This window comes from Homo sapiens, chromosome 10, assembly GCF_000001405.40.
Source record: "Homo sapiens chromosome 10, GRCh38.p14 Primary Assembly".
Lineage (NCBI taxonomy): Eukaryota > Metazoa > Chordata > Mammalia > Primates > Hominidae > Homo > Homo sapiens.
Genome location: NC_000010.11, coordinates 112,831,220 through 112,853,560, shown reverse-complemented (window position 1 = coordinate 112,853,560; position 22,341 = coordinate 112,831,220). Strand labels below are relative to the sequence as shown.

At 49.0% G+C, this 22,341-nt stretch overlaps 1 protein-coding gene across 2 annotated transcripts in view, besides 1 other annotated feature; it reads right to left on the bottom strand.

The window, feature by feature from the left end:
- The window catches only part of VTI1A (vesicle transport through interaction with t-SNAREs 1A), a 408,381-nt gene that overhangs the window by 1,808 nt on the left and 384,232 nt on the right, over nucleotides 1-22,341 (bottom strand). The window lies entirely within an intron of this gene.
- Nucleotides 18,491-18,580: an enhancer, noted in NCBI's record as "active region_4068". NCBI's record gives its function as "activates an Ori minimal core promoter by ATAC-STARR-seq in GM12878 lymphoblastoid cells {active_cell/tissue: GM12878}" and the evidence as "EXISTENCE:reporter gene assay evidence [ECO:0000049][PMID:35858748]".

Here is a 22,341-nt window from a genome sequence, read left to right as displayed (position 1 = left end):
ACAGTCCATTACCTTTTGAAGGTCACTTGTTCAGCAGGGCAAGGAAGAAAGGGTGAAATATTTGTGAAACACACATGATGGACTAAGCACCTTGCCCCTCGCCTCATGAGGTATGTCCTGGTATCTCCAGTATATAAATGCAGAATCCAGGGCTCAAAGAGGCTACACACCTTGCCCACTATCAGACCCTGCATCACTTGGAGTTTGATGGCTGCAAGCAACAGAAACTCATTCTTAAAGACTCAAGAAAAAGCTGAGCAAGCAGGTCTTGCAAGGACAAGGATGTGGGCAGTTCTGGGGTTGGAGGTAGTAGGAGCTCACAGACATGGTCACTGGAGATTGCAGGCGAAATAGTGAGCTTTAACTTGTCACCCCATTCAGAATTTACCCCCCTGGAAGAGTGAGTCTTATGGATTTGGCCAGGTTGCCTGGCTGTACCTTGGACAAGGAGAACATGGCACTTTGAAAGACAGCCCTGGCCGGGCGCGGTGGCTCATGCCTGTAATCCCAGCACTTTGGGAAGCCAAGGCAGGTGGATCACGAGGTCTGGAGTTCGAGACCAGCCTGGTCAACATGGTGAAACCCCATCTCTACTAAAATACAATTAAAAAAAAATTAGCTGGGTGTGGTGGTGTGTGCCTGTAGTCCCACTTACTCGGGAGGCTGAGGCAGAGGAATTGCTTGAACCTGGGAGGTGGAGGTTGCAGTGAGCTGAGATTGTGCCACCACACTCCAGCCTGGCGACAGAGCAAGACTCTGTCTCAAAAAACAAACAAACAAACAAAACAAAACAAAACCAAGAAAGACAGTCCTATCCAGACTGAATGCAATGGGAGAGGAGCAATCCCCAGAGGAAAACTGGGGTGCTGTTACCAAGAGCAAAGGAGGGGACACTGCACTGCGAAGCAGATATGCACCATAGACATCCATTGGTCACAAAAGGTGAGTGGCACAGGTCAGTGACCCAAAGCCCAGAAGGGCTGCCAATAATGCCCACGTGCCAACCCCCACCTCAGGAGCCTTCACTTCTCTGTCCAGACTTGCGGCTTCCTCTTTAGTGGGCCCCATGATGCTGGCACTGCTTAGAAAGGGTTCATGCCCTGCTGGAGAGGAAATCTCCAAAGAAGGCAGAGAATTGGGAAGTGAAAGAGATACAGCAATAATTTAAGAGCAAGAGAGTGCCATGGAGAAGTGGGGAGGGCCTGTGGCTTTCTCAACGTGGGAAAATGACAAATCACTAGGAAGTTTTGTGGGGGAAGGGGAGCAGATAGGGACCAAACATGGGGAAGAATTAGAGGTGTAGGAATCATTGGAATCATCTAAAATTTAAAAGAAGCCACAGTATACTTTATCTACTCAGAAGTATTTGAGGTGTCTTATATTATAACATATTTAATCCATGAGAGTATTAACTTAAAAATTGTGAATTTAAAGAAATATAAAATGGGATGGTATATAATTAAAAATCTGGGAAGTTTCAAATTTAGCTTAGAGCTTCCTGGTAGCTAAGGCAAAAAAGGAAACATGATTGGTTATATAATTCTCATTTTCATTTTATTTTTTTCTTTTGTCTCATAAAAGGAAGTGAATCTGCAAGTCAGAAAACACAACATTCTCTTAAGTTATAAAGAAAAATTAACATGGTGGGATATTAAATATTCAATGGAAAGATTTTTCAGTGTAATTTCACTGAGGTTGAGAAACAGTCTTCCTACGGCCATTATCATATGAAGTGTGGTGGAAAGTAAAGAGTGTTCCTGCCAAGTGCCCCTCCCTGAGCTGGAAAGGTTCCCTACAGTTCTCAAGTTCAAATGCGTCTCCCTAGTTCAGAAGCTTCAGTTCAGAAGCCCCTGTATGGCTTCTCAGCTCTTCCATCTCCTGCAAAAACCAATTCCTGCGCTCACATCCCTCTGTTTTCAATACTTTCTGGTTTCTTTTTCCTGGGTGGACTTTGCTGGGTGTGCTCACTAATTGATGTCCAGCCTTAACCCAAACACCCTTGAGGAAGGGGCACCCCTTACTTCCCAAACAGAGCAGCCTACTTCATCTCAAAGGCAGGGCTGCCTGAAGGTGCCACTTCCACAGGGGTTCAGCGTGTAGACAGAATCTCGATTGAAGGAGGTACTAGAAAGATCTTTCTGGGCAGGGGAAGAAGCATATGAAGGTTTGTCAATTACCATGAGTATGACACATATCATGTCAATGTGCCATGAGCACATTGTCTAGTTGGAAGAGAGGCTATGTTTACTCAACAGACACGTTTTCAATCATTATCATTGCCCTAATATCACAGGCGACCCAGAAAAGGAATGCATGTGGCCCAGGCTCTGAAGGAGCACCTTGAAATGATTCAGTCAAATGCTCTGAGACTTTTAGGATCACCCCACACACTCTCTTAAGTTCTGCTCCAATCTGAATGCCTGAAAATACAATGGATTTTATGTGTCTGCTATAGTTTCTGTTTGCAAATGCAGGCCTTCATCTTAAAGCCAATCTTCCATGTGAAAGCAGAGTTCGGAAGGAAACATGCGCCTCTGTCTTGGGAGGAGCTTCAGTCTCAGGTGCTGCAAGGTGGACTAATCTGACACACTAGGGCATAAGAGAATTCTCAGGAGAGGCTGAGGTTTATTTGAATCAACTGGCATTTCTTTGGAAAGTTGGGGAAAGGGGCAGATCCAGGTTTCGTAGGGCATGAAATCAGGGTCGGCTTCATGGACATGCCACCTGCACAGTTGCACAGGGCCCTGTGCCAAGAAGGCGCTGGTGTTGCTATCTTCAAAGTTTTAGTTGTTTTTGAACAAAGGGCCCCACGTTTTTATTTTGCACTTGGCTGCCCAAATTATGTAGCTGGTCTTTTGTGACACTTATATGATTTGGGGGGCCCTCATTTTAAAAACAACACAAAATAAGAGAAATAAAATTAAGTTCCAAGTCTTGGAAGAGGTACCTAGGAACAGAAGGTGCTCTGCAGAAACTTAAGTTTCATTAACTTCACAGAAAATCTGCTTCTGGTTGGGGAAGGAGTGACCTCCACAGTAGTCTTCAAATTGTGGTCTTGGGAGTCTTGGGGGTTTAGTGAATGGGGTGTCAGGTGGACCTCTCTTTGCTCCCCCTCACCCTCTTCTTTACCCTTTACTTTAACCTAATTTCACTTTGTTCTGAATTAGAAATTGAGCTTCAGGCTGTTTCTTTTTTTTTTTTTCCTTTAAAGGTGCCATGACTCACATAGTTCGAAAACCACTAGTTAGACAAACCACATCACACCAGGCTTTTTGTTGTAGGGAATTGTCTTATTTCAGAAGGCCCCAGGTGACCCGCTGACCTGGGGTGTCTCCAAAGCCAGGTAATAATAGGCCGTGCTCTAATCTAAGGAGACTTTGCTGTATTTGCAGAGAGCTTTGAAATGTTCTGGGAAAAACGCTGATCAGATGTGCAAGGTATTATATTCACGGAGAGAAAAACCCTCCCAACTCTTTATAAAATGGATTAAGCTAGTTTCTAAAGGCTGCAGGTTTGTGTGATCTTAATCCCACTCCTTACTCCTGATCCACCACCTTCCTCTTTTGTTTCCAGGATGTGCACCTTCCTGGGTGAGGGCCGGGACGCCTTCCGGGGGAGCCCTACCCCTTCCCAGCTCTCCCCTTAGGAAGAACTAAGGGACACCCTCGCCCTTGCACCCACCTCGCCAGGGCTGCCTTTTTCTGTGGGCACATTTCACATTCACAGGCTCTGATCCGATGGAGGGAAATCTGAACAAAATATGGTAATGATGCCATTGTGCATTCAGCGACTCAGACTGGAGCAGCAGATGGGAAAAGTTGCGGATCACAACCCCATGCAATATTTGACAGAATATCAGTCAAATATAGTTCACCCAGATCCATGTTTCTGTCAGTCCCTCTTGGCTAGAGTTAATTTAAAGTGACAAGAATGACATTAGCTCTTTTCAGAGGGGTAATTCCTTCCTCAGGGCTGCCCCCTCCAATGGATACCCAGGCAGAGCCCTCCATCATCGAAAGGCGGGTTTTCTAAGAAGGGACCAGCCCTAGACCAGGAGTCACCATTCAAGACCTGTGCTGGTCAGTGTGCTGGAGGTTCAGTCTATTTCACTGTGGAGGAAGGAGCGAGGTTGCCCCAGGCTCCAGCTCCCTAGAGGGGTCGTCTCCACAAATGGGGTTTCAGGACTTGTAACCTTACCTCAGGGCTCAGGCAGAGAGAGCCCCACTGCGGGATGAATGCCCATGTGTGAAGACAATTTAGAAACATCTCCAGCAGGTGGAGGGCTCTGAGCTGGCACTGCCACCACTTGGAGTCTTAACAGTTGCAGATGAACAGCTTAGCATGTGTTGTTTTCCATTTGTTCTTCCTTGGTTCCTTCTGTCTTGCTACACCATGTACAAAAACTCACATAGTGTTGATAACTTTTGTAACTGGTCGATTCCACCAGCACTTGTGCCTTCTAAGGCTGCTTCCTGCCAAGACCTCAGTGGGTGTCATGACCTCCAAAGTTGGTCATGGGTCCAGAAGCTGGCCTCACCCCACCATCAGATCAATATGTGTGCATGTTGGGAACTGCATGTAGAAAGTTGGCTTTGCTCCTCTGTTTTTAAACCAGGTAGACCCACCCACAAATCATGGCTACCAACCATGAAAGATGACCCCCTACCCTTTATGGCTAGTGAACTCCTATTTGCCCTTCAAAATCCATCTCAATGGTCACCTCCTCCTGGGGGCCTTCCTGAATACCCCCAGAAATTATCATTCCCTTCCTCCTCAGGGCAGTCTCTGGGCTCCGTATGTACTTCTGTTTCTACACTATCAAAAGGCATCATAATCACTTTTTTGCTTCTCTGGCTTCCCTTTCTGGTTGTGGTCATCAAGAATTAACAAGTGTTTGCTGGACTGAATAATTGAATTGTTTCTTGAATAAGGTAATAGGCCAGGAGACCTTATCCACAGAAAACGTATGGTTTCCTGTAACTGCCATGATCTGTGTCTCCAGCCTGTGATATTAAATATGATCACTTCTGTTGTTTCTCATGAGACTCCCCATTTGCTGGAAGTCTCTCTTGAGGTTTCTCTGCTCTCCAAGGTCTGACCAGGGTCATTTGCCAGGGACTGTGTCATCAGGTCATCTGTAACTGACAGCAGGGGTGGGGTTCTGTGTCTGGAATTGCCCTAGTCATCGTTGCCTATCCCTTAATGGGTCCAGCTCAAGGGCTCCTCATCAAAGGAGGAGATTGAAGACCAATGGCATCTCCAGTCTGGGGCCCAGAAATGGCTAGTTAATTAATTACACCTGGCCACACAAAGAACTGGTTGGGCAGGTGATCCCAGCACTGCTGCCAGTTACAGAACTACAAGCAACTGACAAGGAGGGGATTGGGAGAGCTGGCCAAGAAGCTGGGAAGAGCCTGTTGAAACAAAAAGACAAGACCTAAAGTCTCATGATGGCGGTTGTGTCTGGGAATGTTTCAATTAGCTATTGTTGTGTAAAAAACTACCCCCAAATCTTAGTTGCCTAAAACAACAGTTTATTATTTTTTTTCTCATGATTCAGCATTTTGGATTGGGCTTAGCTGGGTGGTTCTTCCGCTCTATCTGGTGTGTGCTTGACTGTCCAAGATGGTTTCTTCTTTACTTATATGCCTGGTGCCTCAGATAGGAGATATGTTTCTTCAGTAACTAGGCACAGTGTCTGGCACCCAAGAGATTCTAGGGAAATGTTCAATGGTAGAATGAATAAATGAGGGTACACAAAAGCATAGGGTTTGTAAGAGAGAATAACTAAGTTATCTCATTTGGCATGGTGAATGGTGGGTGCTGTGATGATCAGAAAGATTCTCAGGATGATTAGGAAAGAATGTTCCCTGAGGATCTCTAGATGAAGTCAGGGCCTGGTCTTCTTTCTTGGCAGCAAGAAGGAGCTGCATGTAGAATGTAGCCTTTAGAGCCTGCTCAAACTGTAGAAACAGGGAAAGGTTGAGTGATTCAGTGGCTCTTGTAATCCTGGGAATCAGAGGGCAACCCTCCTTGCTCCTGATGGGAAACAGAAATTTGATTCCCATTCTTGCTTGAGTTTCTGGCTTTGCTTGTCAGACTTTTGAGGGGATAGAAGGAAGAGGTGACATAGAAGAGAGTGGGAAAGTTAGGTGTTAAAGGAGAACTCTGGAGTATTAAGACAAATCCTAGGAAATTCGGTCTGCTTGAAGTGCCTGAGGCCTCTTGGGAAAAAGGTAAAGGGAAATAGGGGGTGATGGTCAGCTCTCTAGAGCACCAAGGGAGATTAGCGGCTGCTCCAACTACCAAAGAGGAATCCCACACAACAGTCAAAAACTTACTGAGGGAGGAGAGACCCCGCAGCTGGAGGACACTGTTCAACAGAAGAAACAAACATAATTTGAAGGAAATAAGCTCCTGTCATCCATTTCTCTCAATTCTTTGGATCCTGGTGACAGCAGGAGCCAACCCTTCCAACAGTAGCTGTGTTAGCTATCCATTGCCACTGTAACAAATTACCAAAACTAGTGGCTTAATACAATACAGGCTTATTATCTTACAGTTCTGGAGGTCAGAAGTCTAAATCAAGGCATTGGCAGGGCTGCATTCCTCCTGGAGTCTTCACCTGGTGAGACTTCCTGAACCAAAGTATATCTTGGGTCTCTTCCAAGTTAGACTTTCTAGAATCACCGCTGTTCAATATGGTAGCCAGTAGACAATTTGGCTATTAAAATTAAACACCCAGTTCCTTAGTTCCACTGGCCATATTTCTTTTTTCTTTTTTTTTTTTTTTTTGAGACGGAGTCTCGCTCTGTCACCCAGGCTGGAGTGCAGTGGCGCGATCTCGGCTCACTGCAAGCTCCGCCTCCTGGGTTCACACGATTTTCCTGCCTCAGCCTCTTGAGTAGCTGGGACTACAGGTGCCCGCCACCATGTCCAGCTAATTTTTTGTACTTTTAGTAGAGACGGGGTTTCACCATGTTGGCCAGGATGGTCTTGATCTCCTGACCTGTTGATCAGCCCGCCTCAGCCTCCCAAAGTGCTGGGATTACAGGCGTGAGCCACCACATCCCGCCCACTGGCCATATTTCAAATGCTCAGTTGCCATACACTATTACATAGCACGAGTTAGTTCTATTGAACATCATCACGGAAAGTTTTATTGGCCAGTGCTGTTCCAATATCAACAGTGCGTGCTTGTGCCAATCTCCCGCCTGTCCAGCTTGTGCACACATCAGCCACTCCCAAGGCCATGAGGTATCCATTTCTGTAAGATGGGACTTCTTATGCCCCTTTTAGGGGAAATGCAGTTCAAGAGGAGATCCAACAGAACATGAAAGTTCTGATAATAGGATTCAGGCCTTGGTGCCTGGGGAAAGACCCCCAAAATAAATGGTGAACAGGATGGAAGATGACTCGCTTATTTTGGGAGTAAACTCTCCTATCTGTTACGCAAGTTCCCATCCTGCCAGGCTCTGCCTCGAGCCCTCTTCTCTTCTCCAGAAAGGACATCAAAATTCCCACCTCTGTCTTCTTTTCTTTTCAGACAGAGCCTCGCTCTGTCACCCAGGCTGGCGTGTCGTGGTGTGATCTTGGCTCACTGCAACCTCCGCCTCCCGGGTTCAAGTGATTCTCCTGCCTCAGCCTCCCAAGTAGCTGGGATTACAGGTGCGTGCCACCACGCCCGGCTAATTTTTGTATTTTTAGCAGAGACGGGGTTTCACCATGTTGGCCAGGCTGGTCTCGAATTCCTGACCTCAAATGATCTGCCTGCCTCAGCCTCCCAAAGTGCTGGGATTACAGGCGTGAGCCACCATGTCCGGCCCCCCACTTTTGTCTTTTGGTCATCAGCTCCACCTTGGGAGAACCTGGGGCTCGTCCTGAGTGAAACAGCTCTGACTTTCCTCCTCCTCCCGCGGAGGCTTTTCCTCCAGCTCAGCCCTCAGTGCCCTGAAATCTGTCTCCAAGGAGCTCTCAGGAGAGACGAAGCTACCGCTTCTCCCGTTTGTGGGTTACTTTTCCTCCCGGGGAGAGGGTCGCTGCTGCGCAAGTTAGTTCTGAAAGCATTTCTCTAGAGCCAGGCATTAATGAAGTCCAGGCAGCCCCTCTTCCTTGGTGGGGGAATTCGGGAACCAGAGAACAGGTGAGACAGGTGGATTTGCGGACCACAAGCCCCGCCCTCTCCAGCCACCTGTGCCAACCTGGAACAGCCAATGGGAGAATGTGCTGCCCCCAGGATTCAGCCAATCAGCAGGCGAGGTCTGTGCATGCTCTGTGTCTGCCTGGCCGTCCTGCCCCAACTTGTGCAGAGAAAGGCCGTTGGGTGCGGGTTTCTGCCACGTCCAGGCAAGACCCCAGCCAGAGGACCCCGCAGAGCAGGCGTGGAATGGTGGACTCGGGCCACCATTCTTCAAACACGCCCTCCCAGGCCTCACACCAACTCTGCCCTTTCTCTCCGCCAGGGAATAATGAAAATGAACTTGTCCTCTTCCCGAACCGACATATTTTACGGCTGACACGGTCATAGTCCTCTGGAGTTGACATCAGTGGGACCTCGGTGAAACTGCAGCGGGAAGAGGAACAGAAGGGTTCCTATTCCCCAAGATGGAACTCCAAAGTACATTTTGAGCAGAAAACCCTATGTGAATGGTTCCTCCTGCCTTTTCTTGCCAACAATAATAAAAACTGTCCAGTCATCGCAGTGACATTAAAAACAACAACTCAAAGCAGCATGTTCTCATTTCTCGAAATTTTGCGCTGCACAGTTAAGAGGAGGGAAAGGGTGAATATCTCTCAACTCTAGGATGTCAAACTACATTTTCCATGGTTCAATGTGATTTTCAATTATAAAAAAGGATTACACGCCAGGCGTGGTGGCTCACGCCTGTAATCCTAGCACTTTGGGAGACTGAGATGCGTGGATCACCTGAGGTCAGGAGTTCAAGACCAGCCAGACCAACATGGTGAAACTCCGTCTCTACTAAAAATACGAAAATTAGCCGGGCGTGGTGGTGGGCACCTGTAATCCCAGCTACTCGGGAGGCTGAGGCAGGAGAATCGCTTCAACCCGGGAGGTGGAGATTGCAGTGAGCCGAGATTGAACCACTGACTCCAGCCAGGGCGACAGAGCAAGACTCCGTCTTGGCTTTATCGTCCCCTTCTCCTTTCCATGACCTCAGAGCCTCTCATAATGAAAAGATCCAGGCTTCATGTTTGGTTCTCAACTCAAGTTTGGAAGTTAAGATGGAGATTTGCAACTCATTTCTTTGGAAGACAGGGGATGGGAAAAGAAATGAGGAAAGGAAGTGGAAAGAGAAGAAGAGCTGGTGTTTTAGAGGGAGACAAAACAAGCAGCACCAGAGAATGGTATATCTGGAAGGACTCCAGGGGGGCCTTTTGTTTATCCAGAGGTTCTTGAGCCTTTAATTTTTATTTATAGCAGCAGACCCTTTTCCCTTTTTTTTCAGATGACATCTTAAGCCAAAGCACAATATCTAAAACAGATAAAATAATGCCTCTCAAAGCCCTATGCCTTGGCATTCCTCTAACCTTCCTCCTCCTGAACACCCCAGGGCTCCTGGGCACACAGTCTGCAAACCATGGATCTAACCCAACTCCTAAATATGCCCATGAGGAAACCAAGGTACAGAGAGGGGAAGTAATTAACTGGAGATGGGGTGGGGGAAGGCTTCTCTAAGATCACGTGGTAGGCCTGGAGGAGCTGGGCCTGGAAGCTTAGAAGTGAAATGAGATAAGGACAGGGGATTGGGGGTGGTTATGAAAGAGCTGACCACATGATGACCTTGAGGAACGTGACTGTGTGGACTGTGAAGAGCAGAGTTCCAGGAGGCTGGAGACCCCCACGGCTTCCTCAATGTTCCTGCCCTGTTTTTCATTAGCTGCTCTAATTCTGAGGTCCCTCTTGAGCACCAGGTTTATGGGTGTTAACTCCACACATAGATGGTTACAACGTATATGTTTGACTCAGGGACAAAAGAAATAAACGCTGTTAGCAGTCACTTTAGAGAACTTTCCAATCATCAGTTTAGAGCAGGAGTGCAAGTGTGTTGCATACGATTCCTCACATTAATTCCACACCCATGACAGGCATTGCTAATCAGTCGTACCACCTTTTCCTGCTCATCCTATATACAGCCTCAAAATTATTTTCCACACAGTACTCTGGTCAGCCATTACCAATGAACCAGGAGCTGGCCCTTCAGATAAAATCTCTCTGCTCTTCCTGGTTTGTGGCTTTGCTGAATGTTGTCCTTAGCATCATGGTCACACACTTCTACAGTCTGCATCTCAGGGGAGAAGCCTGGAACTGCATTTCCCAGAATCCCTTTCCCTGTACAGCTTCACATTAGAGTCAGCCAATGAGAGGCACTGCTGGGAGAATTGGGAGGCGAAGAAGGAGAATCACTGTCATTCTCTGGGGGCAGCTGCAGCTTGACCCATGGGTAAAACCCAAAGCCTTGAGAATCGCATGCTCTGGTGCTTCCAGCTGTTGAGGTTGGTGGCTGCAGCCACCACTGAGACTGCTGGGTTCTTTGCAGCTTCTGGGTGAGCTCCCGTAAATCACCAGTCTCTGGCAGCTGCTGGCCTGACCTTTGTTTCCCCAGCCTTTCCAGTGATTGTGTAAGTATCCAATTCCCTGTATTGGAACCCTTCCTACTTGGAATACCCAGAGTGGCTTCTGTTTTCATGACCAACCCCCCTGACAGCTACAGTTCCATTAACACCTTAAGGGCAGGGAACAGAACTTGGTTGCAAGATGGATATTCTCCATGTTGCCAAACATGAAAGGTGGATGCTTGCTGCATTTGCTCCCCGTTTTCTGTGTTATGTCTGTGATCCACCTACACGGAGTGCAGAAAAGGAAGCAATGACAGGGAGACTGCCAAATAATCAGAATAATAGCATCATAGAATTTGGAGCTGAAGGACCTTTATACAGAAACAGCTTGGTTCTTTTCATTTTATTGATGGGAAAAACTGAGGCCCAGAGAGGAGAGTAGTGCCAGTTAGTCCCAGAGCTGGGGCTGGAAGCCAGGCCTGCTGACCTGGACCAGTTCTCATCCTTGGACCTCAGGATCTCAAATAAGGAGATTCATGTGATCTTGTAAGCAAGGCACAGCCAAGCTGAAATGTGTCCCATGGCAGGCTGGCTACTTTGATGTGAGCTAGTAAACACCTGGCTGTAATGGGAAGCCAAGGTGAGTGATCAGAGATGAGTTCTCCAGCCTCCCCAGGATGGGGGAAGCAGGGTGGGGCAGGTCTCATGAAAGCATGAGAATATGTAAGCCACATTTCCCTAATCCTAACCCTACTGTGGAAACCCTATCACTTTTCCATCTGGTAACAGGCATCTCATTTTAAAGAACTCCTTGTTTCTGCGAACCTGGGAGGCGGAGGTTGCAGTGAGCCGAGATTGCACCACTGCACTCCAGCCTGGGAGACAGGGTGAGACTCCGTCTCAAAAAAAAAAAAAAAAAAAAAAAAAAAAAGGAAAAAAAAAAAAGAAAAGAACTCCTTGTTTCTGTATCCAATTGTTGGAAACCATGTCATGAAATTAAAATCAACTATGTTGCTTGCTTTTTGTAATCATTCTCTTGCCTCCACCGGCCTTGGGCTTGTGGGCTGCATCAGAGCAGATTCCTAGTGGCAAGCCACTGGTTTAGCAGAGACGGGATTTATTGGAAGACTATTGCGGAGCGATAGAATTATCAAGAGGGCAGAAGACTGTTCCTGGAAACTACACCCTACTCAGTGGATGCCACCGGGGATGCTGCCAAACCCTGGTGACTGAGCTCCCACTGCCCCCACCATAGAGTGCCGCACCCCACATCTGGTGCTGCTCCTCTGAAAGTGGCTGTGACTGCCATGGGCAGGGCTGGAATGAATTCTTCACCACCTTTCTATTTTGTGATGACAGCTCCAGATTCAGACGCCCACTTTCCCTGGTCCCTGGCAGCAAGAGGGTCCTCTAGTGGGCTCTGATGTTGGCCAGCTGCATGACCAATGCCCCTTGCACCATCTTGGTGGTGTGGCTCCCAACGCCCCTCTTCTCTCAATCAAGGGTAATTTCTTTGTATCCAAACTGCCTGAAAGCCTACATTAATAGAGTTTCTCTGGACTCAGGGCTTTGCCTCCTATTAAAATATAAAGACTAAGTATGGATGAACAGCAATTCGGTTGTTTTCCAGAACACCCTCATCTAGCCTTCATACATGGGATGATGCACTAATGGTTTTGGGACCCACACCTTGTGATAGAATGTCACTTACCCTGTTAGCCCTTTGGGAAACTACCTTTGCTTCCACTGAGGTGGGGGCCTAGTTGGGGAGAGGGTCACAGCTGCAGATCCCAGGAGTCCCGCAGTGTCTTTAGTATCCCCTAGGAAAGCCCTGGGGTGAAGCTAGTGCGCTGAGGACTCCAGAAAGTGGTTCGCTCTGGGGGGTGTGCCTACATGCATCCTCCTGAACAGTTTTCTGAACCTTTGGCCTCTCACTTTGGTGCTGGCTGAGATGGCCGCACATTATCACCACCACTTCTGGCTGCTAGTTTCTGTTGAAGGCACATGTCCTAGATGGCAGGTGTCGTGCTAAGCATCTAACCCCAATTAGCTCATTTAGTCTTCTCCGCTTAACAACTAAGACAACTGTCACCCAAGGCCAAGAGCTAGCATGGGGTTGGGATTTGAACCCAGGCAAAACCCACTCTCTTCCCATTATACTAGTGGCCTCCTTCCCCAAAATATAGCCTCTCCCTAATCCCACCCCCTCAATACCATACATAAAGAAATACAGAATTTTATTAGGCTCACTTTCCCCCCAGGGGTCTAGTTGTTCTGGGAACCAGCCAATTCTTAGGGCACCTGTGCCTACCTCACAGCTCAGGGTTTGGAAACTCTTGGGCAAGCAGGCAGTGGGGCAGCTGCCCAGGGGGTCTCAATGGGTAGGGACAGAACCTCACTAAGCACCTGTTGAGTGCTAGGGAAGCAGTAGGAGCTTTTCATGCCTCGGCATTGTGGAAATAAATGATAGCAGCCAATGAGAACAAGCGAAGGCTATTTGTTCTGAGTTTGCTGTAGCAAAGGAGTTAGCCTAGCCACCATCACTTGTGTTTTGGCAGAGACTCAGAGACAGGCAGAGGAGTGGGAAGCCTTCGGTGTGCCCTGAGTGGAGGCTGTTGGGTTGGGGGACTCGTGGGTGGGATAACTAGAAGGGGGCATCCTATCTAACTGGTTGGGGTGCATATTTGGCTTTCTCTGGATGGTCCTAAGTAGGAAATGGAGACAAAAATTAGGGAAGCTGTCAGCTGTTAATCAAGTCCTGGCCATTTATGGTAGATTGTGGCAGGGGTTATTGTTTAGTTTCTGGATTTCACCAGAGATAGCAGCCTGGCTTCCCGTCATTCCAGCTGGCTTCCTGGGCTGTTTGTGTAGCTAAGGGGTTGGTTTCCTGGCCAGGTTGCTGCAGACTGTGGGGCAGAGTCCTGTTTTTATATACAGCCTGGCCCTCCTCCATTTGTGTATCCAGTCTCTCAGCTCTTTATCCTCACAGCTGTCCAACTTACAGATGAGGAAACTGAGGCCCAAAGATGTCCAGGAATGTGCCTGAAGCCCCTCAGCTGTACTGGGTATGTGGAGTTGGGCCATTCTGATCTACACCAAGCTGCCTGTCACCACTCATCCTCTATCCCCTGCCACCCCTGCCCCATGGAGATGGTCCCATTGACAGCAGGATGGTAGGCGCTCCTCCCTCCTGAGAGGGAAGTGGCCCTGCTTTGCCTTAGGGTGCTAGGTCTGGCAAATCATGATGGGGGAGGGGGACTGGAGTGGAGGTAGGAGTAGGGGTGCAGTGAGAAGGAAAGACTCCTGGGCTGCCCACCAGCAGCAGTGCCCCTAACTCAGAATCGCCCTTTGGGGCAGCGGGGAGCACTTGGGATCAACCCCAAGAGCCCACCCTTGTCTCTCTGATTCCATGTTTGTCCCCCCTTTCATCTATGCTCCCCCCAACCCTCCCAACCAGCCAGCAGTCCTTAAAAAGCTCAGATGGCATCACTCAGACCTTCCCGGGCTGCTCCCCCAAGTAGCCTCCTTCCTGCCTCCAGCCCTTCGTCCTGGCCTTTCCCTCTGCCTGGAACTCCCCACCGGGTTCCTCAGCATTTTTCGGGACTCAGCTCAGGCGTCACCTCCTCCAGCTCAGCAGCTGCCCCTGCAGGCCGGGACCCCACCCCCATCACTGTCACGGTGCTTCTCACAATGGGAAATGACAAGGGCTCACGATTGCTTGCGGGTTGTCAGCCTCCCCTGCCAGACTGTGAGCCCCTGAGGAGGGAAAGGGGCTGGCCCTGCCAGGGCTCAGGAAATACCCTGTGAATGGATGAATGAGTGAGTTTCGACTCCATCCCCAGTGTCTGCTCTTCCTGCTCTTGAGACAAGGCTCCAGCTCCATCCCTGACCAGTGAGCAAGGGAGGGGCAACCAGCAGAACCAGCCTCAGTAGCTGCCCATGGCCCCCTCCTTGGGCTGAGCTGCGAGGTGACCCAGCCAGCAGCCCTCAGGGAAGAAAGTGGCGTTCTTGCATCAGCTGCAAACTCTGCAGGCTGCGGGACTGACTGGATCTGGTCAAATGGTGATGGCAACCCTGCAAAGTCAGTATCACCATCATCCACATCGCTGGTGACAAAGTGAGGCTCAGGGAGGTTAAGGAACTTGTCTGAAGCCCCCAGCTAGGGAGATGCAGGATCGGGATTTCACCCAGATCTGACAACCTTTAGAGCAGTGCACTTCCGTGGCGCCAGATGCCTGGAAGCGCAGTGAGCTGCCCGGTGACCGAGGCCTGCTCCTTCTCTGCCACCCCCCTGCCCCTCCAGCGTCTTCTGTGCCCCCGTTCTTGCCCTTCAAGTCACCTGGTACCCACAGGCAAGGGCAGTGAAGGGTCTCTGAGTTCCTTCCCGTCCTGCCTACTCCCTTCCTGCCCTATGTTACTAAGAAGAGGGGGTGTCCTGATGCTTTCAATAAAATACTGGACACATGAAATACAAATTAGTCTAGGGGGAAAAAATCTGATACAGGATCATTCCCAGTTGTAATCTACACCATATATGACATAATGTGCAGCTCAATAAGCACTTTTTACTTTTCAGTAACTCAAATTTGCTTCCCTTCAGGCACATGTACTGGTGTTTGCCCAGTCTGTGCAGAAGGCTCTGCTCCCAGGTCCCTGGGACCCCCTAGCAGCCACCTGCAGTAGTCTCTGGCTCTGACCCCAGGAGGACCCGAGGTCTGTCCCAGGCCCTCCCTGGGGATTGGCCCCAGCCACCTGGGGCTGTCTTGGGAGCAGAATACACAGAGCAGTGGGGAGCACCTGCCTTGCGGGCTTGGCCCCAGCCCTCTTGGGGTCTTTTCCTCCCAGGCCACGTGGGCAGAGGGAGAAGCACTCAGTACCAGGCCAGGACATTGAGCTGTGTGCCTGGGCCTTCACACTGGCCTCGGTCCTGAATAGTGCCATGACTTCAGCATCCTGGCCTTAGTTTTCCCATCCAAAAATGGAGAACATGAAGGTTGCTGCCTCGTAAGAGGGCCCTTTTAAGGATTAATCAGATGATGCAGGTCAAACCCTTGGCCGAGGCCTGGATTGAGCTGGGTACTCCCTCCCTCCCCTTTTCTACTGTTACCCAAAAGTGGTTTCATTTCATGACTGTGAGGCAAACCAAATTCAGATAGTTGATCTGACCCTGGCACTTCAAAGACATCCCCAGACTCTCCCTATAAAGCCCAAATAGGACTTCAGGATTACCTGTGGCTAGGAATTACCTGTATATCTCTAGGGACTTGGCTGCCTGCTCTATGTTCCCAAGACCCAGGAACTGTTCCTGGGGAGCCATTCAACCTAAAACCTTCCAGACCAAGCCCTCCCATCTTGCAGATCAGCAAATTGAGGCCCAGAGGGCCAGCGAATTGCTCAGAGTCACATGTCTGAGATAGAGGCTGGAGCAGAACCAAGGATTCCTGAAGCCCTCAGGAGGGTAGGGCTGTCTTCATGTCAGCTGCAGCTCTGATTGAGCTGTGGGGGAGGGTTCCCACGCAACCACGCCTGGAAATCAAGCAGGCTGAGGAAAAGCAGGGGTCATGGCCTTCAGGATCCACATCGGTGGGTCACTGTGACATCCTTAACCACCCATCCTCCAGTCTTCTATCCCCTCCCCCTCCCAGGATTTTTTTTTGAGACGTTGTCTCACACTGTCACCTAGGCTGAAGTGCAGTGGCGCAATCTTGGCTCACTGCAACCTCCACCTCCCAGGTTCAAACGATTCTCCTGCCTCAGCCTCCTGAGTAGCTGGGATTACCGGTGTGCACCACCACACACCACACTCAGCTAATTTTTGTATTTTTAGTAGAGACGGGTTTCACCATGTTGGCCAGGCTGGTCTCGAACTCCTGACCTCGTGATCCGCCTGCCTCGGTCTCCCAAAGTGCTGGGATTACAGGCGTGGGCCACCACCTCCAGCCCCTTCCCAGGATTTTGATCTCCTTTGACTCCTTCTCCTGCACTATTGGCTCACAGTCCTGAGCTCCGAAGTGGCTCTGAAGATCCTTGGAGGGATAGAAGATGGAGTCAATTCCTTTGAACAATGTTTAACTTGAAGCCACTGCATTCTTCCGAGATGGTTTATTTACCTTGAGGTAGAAACGACTGGTAGCAGCTTGGAGTATGGTTTCTACTTTAGCTCAGGAGATAAAGTCAGGATCATAGAGTTCACAGATGGGCCTGAAACCACGGATTCCATACCCCCTCCCCGCCGCATCATGCTCCAATGTCCCATCCATCCACAGTCAACTGCATTTCATTTTGTAACTGAAATTAGACTCCCCTTTTAGGTCAACCAGAGGAGAAGACAGATTCAAGTGCTACTACACGTGGCCTGATTCCAATCTTGGAGTCAGGTTAGTTTGTGCTGAAGCCCCCAACTAAGATTTGACATGCAGTTACAAGAGAAAACGGAGGGAAATTTGCTATGAGGTAGCGGAGGGAAAGTTGAAGTTCTCTTTTATATTACAATATTGGAGAGGAGAGCACGTGAGGGGGCATGGACTGAGAATCAGGAAACTGCTGTTCTATTCTTGGCTCTGCAAGTAGCTTGCTGTGTGCCCTCGGGCAGGTCACTTCCCCTCTCTGAGCCTCAGTTTCCTCATTTTATATAACCAAGGAAGGATCTTCAAGTTTCTTCCTTTCAGTTCTAAAGAGCTCATGATTCTAGCTGGGTCTCTGGCCATGGGTGAAGAAATCAAAGACTTAGTTTCATTTCATAACTTGCACCCCCCAGCACTTCCCAGTTGGGGCTGGGAACAGGACCAAGCATTCATTGACGAAACTAATCTGAGCTTCAGAGAGGTGACTGCCGCCTCGGCTGTTGGAAACCTCACCCGGGAAGAGGACAGGGCTGGACGCAAGCTGGACAAGAGCTTAGTTCTCCCACCCCAAGGGCTGTGATTGGTGTCCAGGCAGCCGATGTTTATTCAGACTGGAGCTTTGGCCTTTGCAGGCTCAAATGTCATTAGCTGCTGTTTTTGATCAATGGGAAGCAGTGAAAGCAACAAATAATAATGTCCATTTGCGGGCAATTTCAGTCATTTGTGGCATTTAATTAGCATAATTGACCTGAACTGGAACTTTTTCTCCACCTGAATTTAAAAATACATTACTGCCCCCCCTACCCCAATATATCTGAGAAATTTTCTTTTTTTAATGAGGTTTTAACTAAAGCCCAATATCAAAACACCATATAATACTTTTATCTCATTGAAGACATTTGATGCTTATTAAAATATTATTGCTTTAAGGCTTATTTTGATTTTTTGCCCAAGAGTGTGTGCAGAGCCTTGCTACTCAGATAATAACAAAGAAACCTTAAACATGAAAAAAACACATGAAAGGTAATATGTTCCCCATTAGTCCCAGTATCATTTCCCCAGGATTACTGCTTTCCAAATATAGCATTAGTTTAAAAATAAAAGGCCGTTTACAGTAACGGGACACTTGGCACTACTTTGCAGTATGCGGGCCCTCCAAGGGGCTTGTACAGCAGCTTCATTAAGCGAGAACTGCAGGGGAGAGGGCTGGCTTAAAAACAATCGCAGCATGCCTCCTCGAAGGCCCCCCAGATAGGCCACCTATCCTGACCTGAGGCCCGTGTCTAACAAGCTCTTAATTCTCTTTTCAGAACTGCTTTTTCGTGCATTGTTTCTTCTGGAGATGAGACCATTTTGGAAACTGACAAGTAATCAATTGACTGCCACCGGGGAGGAGAAGCGACATTCTGGGGCTCCGTGTTCTGGCCTCATGGGTCAGGGTGTGGCTGCCATCCATGAGAGAGGGCTCCTTTTGGCTTTGGGAGGTCTCTTTTGTCCTGGGAGATCCAGGGCAGCAAGCCCCAGATGAGATTTATGTCAGTCGAGAAGCGCACGGGCCCTGTGTCTAAGCATGCTTTATTTGACTCAGACATGCCATTTTTTTTTCTTTTTTGCTAGGCACAGCTAAAGTCCATTTTCAGTTGGATGAACTAATCTAGCTAAGGGACAGAACAGTCATGTACATAGAAGGGCTCTCTCAAGTGGCAGGGAGGGCCACTCCAGTTTGCTTCCCTGTGGCCTGTGTAGAGTACCCACCGGAAGCTGCCAGCCCGCTGAAGGCCCCTGAAGAGACTCATGTTGCACATTTGCTATTTTAGTCCAACAATGCAGGCCCCTTCCGGTTTCAGGAGCTGGTCTCCTGGCACTCAGCAAACGCCCGGCTTCAAGAGGCCTCAGAGAGCCAGGGGAGCGAGCTTCCAGCCTGAAGGTAGGGAGAAGCTTTCCTGATTTTAAATCCTCAACTAAATGCCAGCCATATCTTGTTGTCAGCAGAGAGGGGAGATCAAGAGGGAGCGATGGAGGAGAATGGAGAGGTGGTAACAAGAGCTGAAATTTATTGCCTGGTGGCTTGCATTCTCCCCAGGGCAGGTGGCACTGTCCACTGGGCGGAGGGTCTGCTGTACCATGAGAGGGTTCTTTGCATGGAACCAATCACAGGTTGGTAGGGGGTTAGGGATGGTGTCTCTTTGGGAAGCATCCCATCTGACTGTCAGAATTGGGACCTCCTTGTTTGGCCTCATCTGGTTTGTGCTCTTGATGTTCTCAACTCCTCTTTCTAGCCAAGAATTGCTTATTCCCATCCGTATTCCTAGACTAGTGGCTGGCACAGAGCAGGCATCAGCTCACTTGAACTAAGAGAACAAGCTCCCATGGGTAATGTCTCATGAACAGACCAGAGACTGGGGCGGGGGTGTGGGCTGGTCGAGGCTGGTGGCCTTGGTGAGGGCTGTGATGGGCTTCCATTCACTGAGCACTCACTGCTGTCCAGGTTCTGAGCTGCATGTGTCACATGGATTCCCTCATCTGATCCTCATGCCACCTCCCTAACTTGGCAATGTTATCATGACCAACTTGCAGGGAAGGGAACGAGGTTCAGGGAGGTTGATTAACTTGCTTAGGCTCACCCAGCCAGAGAGCAAGCAGCAGTCTGGCTTGTGGTCCTGAGCCTCTGCCACCTCTCTTGTCTCTCATTGGCTCACGGTCCTGAGCTCCGAAGTGGCTCAGAAGCCCTTTGGAGGGATAGAAGATGGAGTCAGCCCCTTTGAACAATGCTTAATTTGAAGTTACTGCATTTTTCTAAGGATACTCCTTCTTTGGGAGCTAAAGATCAATGCCACAGGGATTGAACATGGCACCAGTAGGCCCTGAGTCCTCTGCCTCCCAGCACTTTGATGCCCCAAGGAGAAATAGAGTGTCAGCCCCAGACATGATTCCTGCCCTCCAAGAGCTCACATGAGTGGAGAAAGAAATGACTAAGGGCCATAATAAATGGCTCAAAGAGTGGGATAGCTGCAAAGGTATTTGCATCGTAACATGGAGGAGTTAAGATTCACTGTAGAGATCATAGAGTATCATTAATCTACAGATGGGGAAGTAAGGGTATAAAGAAGCAAAGTGACTTGTCCAAGGTTATCCAGCTAATTCAGAGGCAAAACCAGGGCCAGAACTTAGGAGTCTTCACACCCCTAGTCTCCGATTCACTCCTCTGCTTGGTTCCTTAGTGGCTGGCGAGGCAGGGAAGAGAATGATGGTCAGGAAAACAGGGACTGGGTGGAACCTTGAAGGAGTAGGCAGGGTACTGGAGAGGGGTATGAGGATGCTCTATGTAGGGGAAGAGGTATGCAGGTGATGTGGGATGTGGGACATGGGATGCTAGGGGTTAGATAGATTGCATGCCCTAACTCCACTCTTTCTGATGAGTAGAGGCTGCAGGAGATGCTGAGAGGAAGAGGACAAAAGAGCCAGGATCGATTAGCAATGTCTGTCAGGAGCATGGGGAGGGGAAGGAGAGGACCTCTTGCCACATGCCTGTCCTCCCTGGCATAAGGTGTGCTTAAAGCATGGTAACATGTGAACTCTTCTGATCCACTGACAGGTCTTGACCAGGGCTGGGGGAGGACTCTGCTATCGATTAATTTGTTTTTCATGGACAGTTTCCTGCTCACTCAGACCCAACTGGTGCTGGTATCAGCAGACCTTTGCATCTATTCCATGGACCCATCACCTGCCAAAGCCCCACTGCCTACCCTGCAAGGGGAGGCACCAGGTCTAGCAGAATTACTGCAGGGCCAGGGCTGGGAGGGAGCTGAGTTACAGAGCTTGGCAGGCCCACAGAGGAGCCTCTTGCATTTCAAATGGGCTCCCGTGGCCACTGCTGAGAGAGGCCACATTTCTGCTGAATGAGTCATTTCAGGCTCCGCTCACCTATAATGAGTGAGATTCTCTGGGAAACATTTCCATATTGGATGCAGGGGCCACCCAGGTAAGGGAAGAGGACAGTCTGAAAGCCAGAGGTTATGACTTTTGATCTAAGCCTCAGCTTTGAAATATTCACAACTCCACCGGAGCCAACTTGGGTCAGTGCCGCCCTTCATTCTTCTGAGAAAGAGAAGAAGTAAGTCTGATGTGGATGCGCTGCTGGGCAGCTTGGTGGGCAGGGCCCCTTTGGCTAAAATGGATGAAGTGCAGGTGAGAGCAGGAATGCATAGGGGCCCGACGGGGTGCAGGCAGGGCAGAAGCCTCCATGGGGTAAATGATACCCAGGCCCTCTCCAGCCTAACTAAGAGCCCACTAACAGCCCTGGCCTGGGCAGAATGAGACTTTCAGGGTCAGAGGTCTTTTTCACATTTTACGTGTTGTATTTTCCCCCAGCTTGCGAGTGTAATCCGACCTACCAGCGTGCAAGGCTTTGGGGGTTTTGAACTTGCCCTACATCAAAATACACCCCCTCCTCCACTAGGGAGAAAACCAGCCACTCTCTGCCGCAGACTCGGCGGGCATTTGATTGTCTAGAACACATCAAACAGCCTAAGTCTCCCTTGTAAAAGTTTTACAAGAAAATCATTGAAGACCAGCCGAGCTATCCTTTTTCTCTCCTCCTCCTTAAATTCCAAGCCGAAGCCGATATTCTCGATTCCCACACTGTGGTGTCGGCCGGCAAGAGCGCGGGGCTGCTGAGTGTACAGCGGCCGAAACCTCAGCCTCTGGATCATTAGACTTGCAGCGCATGGCTTGTGGGATCTAGTGATTTGGACATATTTTATTTAACCATCTTAGTAAAAGGTAATATTCAGCAGCTGTGATCTATAGCAGAATTACAATTTTCAGGGTCAAGGAGGGATTTTGATATTAGGAGGTTAGGCAGAATTGCTATGAAATCTCCTGAGCTGTCTTTAAAAATAAATGAGAAAATAGGTTATCCAAGAGTCATTGTAAGGGAAAAATCAATAGGCAGTGTCTATTCACTTGGGCTATCAAAATCCTTGAAATTTGAACAAAAGTTTTACGTTTAGTGTACTGTAGGTTTTGAAATACCAGCGCTGGAGGCTCGGCGGGTACAAATTCATTGTGCTACGCATCCAAACAAGACTAGCCTTGTGAAGCTGCTCAGCTCCCTCTTAAAATAGGGGAGAATCTTGGTGACCAAACTGGACAGTAAAAGGACACGCCTGGTGAATACCATTTCATCCAAGGCAGCCGTCTGTCCACAAACACTTGAGAAGCACCTGATGCGCCAGGAATATTAGCTCAGGTGTGGCCGATGGCCCAGCGCCTCTTCCCAGCCCCACCTCTTGTCCAGGAGGAAAGTGGATCCCACGTGTCTTCTCTCCCACACCATGCACAGTGCTCAGGCTTTTGGATGGGGACAAACGATAATTAACAGAGAACTTGCTGGTGGTGAAGTTTTGGCTGAGCAGGT